Here is an 8,977-nt window from a genome sequence, read left to right on the forward strand (position 1 = left end):
TATGTAAAGTATAAATCTAAATATAGATAAGGAATTTGTACATTTATAACATTACCTCCCGTCTACGGGTCTTGCCGCCGTTTATATCAATATAGTGTAAAGGTTGGAGTTTTGAAAGTAAAAAACTTTGATGTGAAAAGGAATCCTGAGGTTATGTCCTGCTGTGATACTATTTTGTTTGTGAGATCTCAAATAATCTAATTGGAAGGTAGCTCAGCTTAGTGGAAAAATCAAACTTAAAATTTCTTTCCTTTATTTAAATTCGAAATGTTTTGCTATTTATCATCTCAGTGAACTAAGACACATTATGATCAGTAATTTAAAATCTAGTCAGTACTATGAAAAGAAGTGGGAGATGAAGTAGCCACTAGAAAAATCCATGTATAATTTTTCTTATGAAATAATATGAAATACATATATTATCAAATCTTACTGCTAAAACCATATGTCATAGGTTATCTGGTTCATTAATACAAGATGCATGGTTACTTTTTACTGTCCTTCCTCAAAACTCATTTAATATGTATATCATATCTTGGTATTTAAATTGTATTTATTTCATCATGGAGATAAAAGAGAGTGTGAGGAGTCAGCATACTTATTTTCATTTTGATTTTAGTTCTTTTATATCATTCATCCTAATGTTTCCCTGTATTAACTAATTCCAACTTTTTCAGTGATGCCTATTACGTCTTTAGTTTCTTTCTTTATTTATTTAAGATGGACTCTTACTCTTTTGTCCAGGCTGGAGTGCAGTGCTGTGATCTCTTGACTCACTGCAACCTCGGTTTCCCAGACTCAAGCAATTCTCCTGACTCAGCCTCCCAAGTAGCTGGTGAGGCACCTGGGGCAGAGAAAAAAAAAAAACAAAACAAAAACCTCGGGTGCAGAGGAGTGGGGCCTGGGTCCCTCACAGACGAAAGTGCCTTCCCATCAGCCCCTTCGCTGGGCCCAGTGGACCCTGGCGTCCCTGGTTCCACCCCAGGATGCGCCTCAGGCCGCTAGGGGTACCTCAAGGCGGACAAAAGGCCCATGAGGGGAAGGTGAGGTTTGAGGGAGGATAGGTGAGGCACCTGTGGCAGGAAAAAAAAAAAAGCGCCACGGAGAAGGGGGGGCCTGTGTCCCCCATGCACGAAAATGCCTTCCCATCAGCCCCTGCGCTGGGCCCCGTGGACACTGGCAACACTGTTTCGAGCACAGTGTGTGCCTCGGGCCTGATAGGGGTACCCCAAGGAGGGCAGAAGGCCAATGAGGGGAAGGTGAGGGACCTGGGGCAGAGAGAAAAAAAAAAAACGCACCTTAGAGAAGCGGGGCCTGGGTACCCACGGACGAAGGTACCTTCCCATCAGCCCCTGCGCTGGGCCCCGGCGACCCTGGCGTCCATGGTTCGAGTCAAGGGAGCGCCTTGGGCCGCTAGGAATACCCCAAGTCGGACAGAAAGCCCATGATGGGAAGTTAACGTTTGAGAGAGGAGAGGTGAGGCATCTGTGGCAGAAAACAAAACAAAACAAAACAAAACAAAACAAAACAACAAAAAAAAGCCGCGCCTAGGAGAAGCTGGGCCTGGGTCCCCCACGGAGGAAAATGCCTTCCCATCAACCCCTGCGCTGGGCCCTGTGGACCCTGGTTCGAGCCCCGGGTGCGCCTTGGGCCCGCTAGGGGTACCCCAAGACGGGCAGAAATCCCATGAGGGGCAGTTGAGGTTTGAGGAAGGTGAGGTGAGGCACCCGGGGCAGAAAAAAAAAAAAAACCGCACCACGGAGAAGCGGAGCCTGGGTCCCCAACGGACGAAAGTGTCTTCCCATTAGCCCTTGCGCTGGGCCCAGGGGACCCTGGCGTTCCTGGTTCGAGACCAGGGTGCGCTTCAGGCCGCTAGGGGTACCGAAAAGCGGACAGAAGGCCCATGAGGGGAAGGTGACGCACCTGGGGCAGACAAAAAAACCAACAACCGCGCCGCAGATAAGCGGGGCCTGGGTCCCCTACAGAAGAAACTGTCTTCCCATCAGCGCTTGCGCTGCACCCCGGGGACCCTGGTATCCCTGGCTCGAGCCCAGGGTGCGCCTCGGCCTGCTAAGGGTACCCCAAGGCAGACGGAAGGCCCATGAGGGAAAGGTGAGACACCTGGGGCAGAGAAAAAAAATAAAAAACTGCGGCGCCCAGAAGTGGCGCCTGGGTCCCCCACGGACCAACGTCCCTACCCATCAGCCCTACACTGGGCCCCAGAGACCCTAGCGTCCCTGGCTCGAAACCAGGGTGCGCCTCTGGACCGCTAGGGGTATCTCAAGGCGGGCAGAAAGCCCATGAGGGAAAGGTGAGGCACCTGGGGAAAAGCAAAAAAAAAAAAAAACAACAAAAGAACAACAACAAAAAATCACCGCAGAGAAGCAGAGCCTGGGTCCCCAAGGAAGAAAGTGTCTTCCCATCAGCCCTTGCGCTGGGCCCCAGGGAACCTGGTGTCCCAGTTTCGAACCCAGGGTGTGCGTCTGGCCACTAGGGGTAACCCAAGTCTGACAGAACGCCCATGAGGGGAAGGTGAGGTTTGAGGGAGGAGAGGTGAAGCAACTGTGGCAGAAAAAAATAAAAAACACCACGCCGCGGAGAGGGCAGAGAAAAAAAAAAAAAAAAAAAACCCTGCCGCGGAGAAGCGGGGCCTGTGTCCCCCACGGACAAAAGTGTCTTCCCATCAGCCCCTGAGCTGGGCCCAGGGGACCCTGGCATCCCTGGTTCAAGACCAGGGTGCACTTCAGGCCTCTTGGGGTACCCCATGGTGGGCAGAAAGCCTATGAGGGGAAGGTGAGGTTTGAGGGAGGAGAGGTAAGGCACCTGTGGCAGAAAAAAAAAAAAACAAACCGCGCCACAGAGAAGCAGGGCCAGGGTCCCCCACGGACGAAAGTGCCTTCTCATCAGCCCCTGCGCTGGGCCCCGGGGACCCTGTCATCCCTGGCTCGAATCCAGGGTGCGCCTCTGGCCTGCTAGGGGTTACCCAAAGCGGGCAGAAGGCCCATGAGGGAAAGGTGAATCACCTGGGGCAGAAAAAAAACAAACAAAAAAAAAAACAAAAAAAAAACCGCGCTGCGGAGAAGCGGGACCTTGGTCCCCCACCAGTGAAAGTGTCTTCCCATCGACCCTTGCGCTGGGCCCCGGGGTCCCCGGCGACCCTTATTCGAGCCCAACACCTGCCTGGGGCCGCTAGGGGTACCCCAAAGCGGGCAGAAGGCCCATGAGGGGAAGGTGACCCACCTGGGGCAGAGGAAAAAAAAAACACGCCTCGGAGAAGCGGGGCCTGGGTCCCCCACGGAAGAAAGTGTCTCCCCATCAGCCCTTGCGCTGTGCCCCGGGGACCCTGGCATCCCTGTTTCGAGCCCAGGGTGTGCCTCGGGCCGCTAGGGGTACCCCAAGGTGGACAGAAGGCCCATGAGGGGAAGGTGAGGCACCTGGGGCAGAGGAAAAAAAAAAGAACTGCACCGCCGAGAACCGGGGACTGGGTCTCCCACGGACGAAAGTGTATTCCCATGAACCCTTGCGTTGAGCCCCAGGGACCCTGGCGTCCCTGTTTCGAGTCCAGTGTGCGCCTAGGGTGGCTAGGGATACCCCAAGTCGGACAGAAGGCCCATGAGGGGAAGTGAGGTTTCAGGGAGTAGAGGTGAGGCACCTGTGGCAGGTGTCCATCTGTAAACTGCTTATCCATGCGAGCCCTGATGTCCACCAGGGGCTGGATGTCCCCCTGGGGCTAGATGTTCGCCTGGAGCCTGGTGTCTACCTGGGGCCTGATATCCAGGAGAGGCTTAGTTATCCACCTATGGCCATCTGGAGCCAGATGCCCACCTGAGGTTTGGTGTAAACCTAAGGCCTGATCTCTACCTGGGGCTTGGGTGTTCATGTGGGGCCTGATGTCCACCTAAGACTATGTGTTCACCTGGAGCCTGGGTGACCATCTGGGTTATGACGTTCAGCTGGGGCCCAGAGTTCAGCTGGGGACTGGGTCAACCTTCTGCCTGATGCACACCTGGGGACTAGGTACCCACCTGGGCTCCCGTGTTCACTGCAGCCTGATGTCTTACCTGGGGCCATGTGTTTACCTAGGACCAATGCATCCACCTGGGGTCTGAGTGCCCTCATGGAGCCTGGAGTTTTCCTGGGGCCTGGGGTCTGCCTTAGGCTTAAGTGTACATCTGTGGCCTGATGTTCCCCTTGGGATGGATGTCCACCTGGGGACAGATATTCAGTAGGGGCCTGAGTGTCCACCTGGTTTGTGATGTCTACCTGGGGCCTGGTGTTCATCTGAGGTTTGATATCCACCTGGGGCCTGGACATTTGTCTGGAACCTGATGTACAGCTGGTGCCTGAAGTTCATGAATGCCTGGTGTCCCCCTGGGGCCAGGTAGTCAACACAGGGCCTGAAGACTTTCTAGAGTTCAGTGTTCACCTGGGGCCTGAAGTCCACCTAGGGCTTGGGTGTCCAAATAGGGCCTGGTGTCAGCTTGAGATTTGTGTATTTACCTAGGGACTGGTTTTCCACTTGGGGTTTTTTTTTACTTGGTTTTTGTGTTAATCTGGGGTCTAGTGTCCACCTGGGGCCTAGGTATCCACCTAGGGACTATTGTCCAGCTGGAGACTAATGACTACCTATGGCCTGGTAATCACCTAAGGCTTTGTTTCACTTAGGTACTTGGTGCCAAACTGTTGCCTGCTGTTCACCTGGGCTATGGTGTCCACCTGGGGTCTGGATGTCAGCCTGGGGCTTGTTGTATACCTGTATCTTAGATATCCAGATAGGGGTCTGTTTTCTACTTAGGTGCAGCAGTCCATCTGGTGCTTGAGTGTCGACCTAAGGCCTGATGTCTATGTTGGACCTAGGGTTCACCTGAGGCCTGATATCCACCTGGGGCCTCAATGTCCAAATGTGGCCTGATGCCCATCTGGGCGCTGGGTGTCCACCTGCAACATGGATGTCCACTGGTACTTTATGTCCACCAGGGGCCTAATGTCCACCTAAGACCTGGTGTTCACCTGGGGTCTAATGTTCAGCTGAAGACCGGATGTCCACCTGGAGCCGAGGAATCCACCCAGGGACTGGTGTTGAACTGGGGCCTGATGACTACCCGGGGACAAGGTACACACCAAGCTTGATGTCCACCTGTCACCAGATGTCCACCTGAGTCCTGATGTCCATCTTGATCCTGGGTGTCCACTTTAGGCCTGATGTCCAGCTGGGGCATAGGTTCCCACTGGGGGCTTCCTGTTAACCTGGGGACTGGTGTCATTCTGGGGCCTAATGACCACGTGGGTTGTGTTATTCACCTAGGGCCTGGTGTCCACTTGGGGCTTGAGTGTAACCCTGGACCTGGCACCCACATAGGACTTGGGTATCAAACTGGCCCCTTGGTGTCCAGTTAAGACATCATGTGAACCTGGTGCCTGAGTGTCCACTTGGGGCCAAATGACTACTGGGGGCCTGAATGTCAACCTAGAATCTGAGGTTTACTAGGGGCCTAGGTATCCACCTGGGGCCCAATGTCCACCTGAGCCTGGGTGTCAACCTGGGGCCTGGTGTAAACCTCTAGTTCAGTGTCCACCTTGGGCTTGATGTCAACCTGGAGCCTGATGTCCACCTGAGTACTGATGTCCATCTTGATCCTGGGTGTCCACTTTAGGCCTGATGTCCAGCTGGGGCATAGGTGCCCACTGGGGGCTTCCTGTTAACCTGGGGACTGGTGTCATTCTGGGGCCTAATAACCACATGGGTTGTGTTATTCACCTAGGGCCTGGTGTCCACTTGGGGCTTGAGTGTAACCCTGGACCTGGCATCCACATAGGACTTGGGTATCAAACTGGCCCCTTGGTGTCCAGTTAAGACATCATGTGAACCTGGCGCCTGAGTGTCCACTTGGGGCCAAATGACTACTGGGGGCCTGAATGTCAACCTAGAATCTGAGGTTTACTAGGGGCCTAGGTATCCACCTGGGGCCCAATGTCCACCTGAGCCTGGGTGTCAACCTGGGGCCTGGTGTAAACCTCTAGTTCAGTGTCCACCTTGGGCTTGATGTCAACCTGGAGCCTGATGTCCACCTGAGTACTGATGTTCACCTTTGACCTGATGTCCACCTGTGGACTGTTTATCCACCCATGGCCTGATGTTCACCTGGGGCTGAATGTCCAACTGTGACCTGTTGTGCACCTGGAACCTAGGCATCCACCTGCAGCCTGATGTTCAGCTGGGCTGGGACCCGGAGTTCACCTGAGGCATGATGTCCACCTGAAGCTTGATGTTCACCTGGGGGCTGGGTGTCCACTTGGGGCCCAATATCCACCTGGAGACTAGGTACCCACCTGGGATCTGGTGTTCCCTCAAGATTGGTGTTCAGCTGTGGCCTAATGACCACCTGGGTCATGGTGTCTACCTTGGACTGGGTGCTCACCTGGAGCCAGTGTTCACTGGGGGCCTAGTGTGCACCTGAGACTGGGGGATGCACCTGGGGTCTGATGTCTACCTGGTGCCTAGGTATCCATTTGGGGCCTAATGTTCATCTGGAATCTGATATCCACCTGGGGCCTTGTAATTACCTGGGGTCTGGGCATCCACCTAGGGCTTGAGTATCCTTCTGGGGCCTTGAGTTTTACTGGGGACTCGTGTCTGCCTTGGACCTGGGTGTACATCTGTTGCCTAATGTACACCTTGAGAGTGATGTCAACCTGGGGACAGTTGTCCTCTTGGGGTCTGAGTGTGTACCTGGTGCCTGATGTCTGCCTGGGGACTTGTGTTCACTTGAGACCTGATATCCACCTGGGGCCTGGGTGTCCACGAAGGGCTGATGTTCAGCTGGAGACTGGATATCCACCTGGGGCTTAGGGATCTATCCAGAAACTGATGTCAAACTGGGACCTGATGTCTACTACCTGGGGACTAGGTATCCATGTGAGGCTTGATGTTCATCCGCGGCCAGACGTCCATCTGATGCTTGATGTCCGCCTCAGTCCTGGGTGTCTACTGGAGACCTCATGTCCAACTAGAGCTTAGGAACCTACTGGGGGCCTCGTGTAAACCTGGGGACTGGTATGCAGCTGGGTCCTAATGATCCCCTGGGTCATATTATTCACCTAGGGCCTGGTGACACTTAGGGCTTGAGTGTCAACCTTAGGTCTTGTGTTCATCTTTGACCTGGTGTCCACCTGGGACTTGGGTATCGACCTGAGGACTTGGTGTCCAATTGAGGTGTCATGACCACCTGGGGACTGAATGTCAATCTGGGGTCTGATGTAAACCTCTAGTTCAGTATACACCTGGGCATGGTCTTCACTTGGGGCCTGCTGTCTACCTGGGCCTTGCTGTCAACCTGGGGCCCGATGTAAACCTCTAGTTCAGTATCCACCTGGGGCCAGATGTCTTCCTAGAGACTTATATTCACTTTTGACCTGATGTCCACCTGGGGACTTGCTATGCATCCATGGTCTGATATTCACCTGGGGACAGATGTTCAACTGTGGCCAGAAGTGCACCTGGGGTCTGGGCTTCCACCTAGAGCCTGATGTTTAGCAGGGGCTAGAGTTTACATGGAGAATGATGTCCACCTGAAGTTTGATGTTTACCCGGGACCTGATACCTGCTTGGTGCCCAAGTATTCTCATGTGCCTAATGTCCACTAGTTGGCCTGGTGTTCATCTGAGGGCTTGGTGTCAACCAGTGGCTTTACATACACCTGGATTCTAGTGTCCTCGTGGGGCCTTATGCCCACCAGGAGTCTGGTGTACCCCTGGGGTCTAGTATCCACCTGGAGTCTGGGTGTCCACCTGGAGCCTAATGTTGAGGTTAGACTGAGTGTCAGCCTGAGGCCTGATGTCTACTTAGGGCATAGGTATTCACCTGGGGCTTGTTGTTTACCTGGGGACTAATGTCAACCTTGAGCCTAGGTATCCACCTGGGGAATAGTATCCAGTTGCAGCCAGATGTCCACCTATGGCCTGAAGCATGGTTGTTATCCTAAGACCTTGTATTAGTCCATTTTCACACTGTTATAAAAAACTACCTGATATTGGGCAACCTATGAGGAAAAGAGGTTTAACTGACCCACAGTTCTTCAGGCTTAATAGGGAGCATGACTGGGCATGCTCGGGACACTTACAATCATGATGTAAAGCCAAGAGGAAGCAAGCCCTTTTTACCATGGGGGAGGAGGAGGGAGAGAGAAGGGGGATGTGCTACACACTTTCAAACAAACAGATCTCATAAGAACTCTATCACGAGAACAGCAAGTGGGAAGTCTGCCCCCATGATTCAATCACCTCTCACCAGGCCCCTTCTTCAACCCATGTGGATTACAATTCAACATGAGATTTGGGTGGAGACATAGAGCCAATATCAGGCCTGATGCCCACCTGGAGTCGTGTCTACCTGAGGCCTAATGTAGACATGAGGCCTGGGCATCCACCTAGGACCTCATGTTAAGATAGGGGCTGGAGTTCTTTTGGTGTCTAGTGTATACCTGGGGCCCAGATGTAAAACTAGAGCCTGATGTTTCGGATGGAAACCTGGGCCCCAGGTGCTCATCAGATCCTAGGTGAAAACTCAGGCTTCAGGTGCACGTCAGACTCCAAGTGGACACATAGGCCCCAGGTTGACACTAAGATTTCAGGTAGACTCTGGGTCCCAGAAAAACACCCCGCCCTAGGTGGACAGCTGAACCTGAGTAGACTTCAGGCCCCAGATTGACATCTGGCCCCAGGTAGATTCCTAGGCCCAAGGTGAATACTCAGTCTCCAGCCCTAGGGGAATTCAGTCTTAGGTGACTAAGGACTGGTGTTCCTCTGGGGCCTCATGTCTACCTGGGCCCTGGGAGTGCACATGGAGCCAGATGTCTATAAAGGGCCTGAGTGTCCACTAGGGCCTGAGGTTCACCAGAAGCATAGACACCCACCTAGGACCTCGTGTTCACCTAAAACCTGGTGTTCACCTGGGGCCTGGGTGACAACCTGGGATCTG

This window comes from Homo sapiens, chromosome 22, assembly GCF_000001405.40.
Source record: "Homo sapiens chromosome 22, GRCh38.p14 Primary Assembly".
NCBI classification, from domain to species: domain Eukaryota; kingdom Metazoa; phylum Chordata; class Mammalia; order Primates; family Hominidae; genus Homo; species Homo sapiens.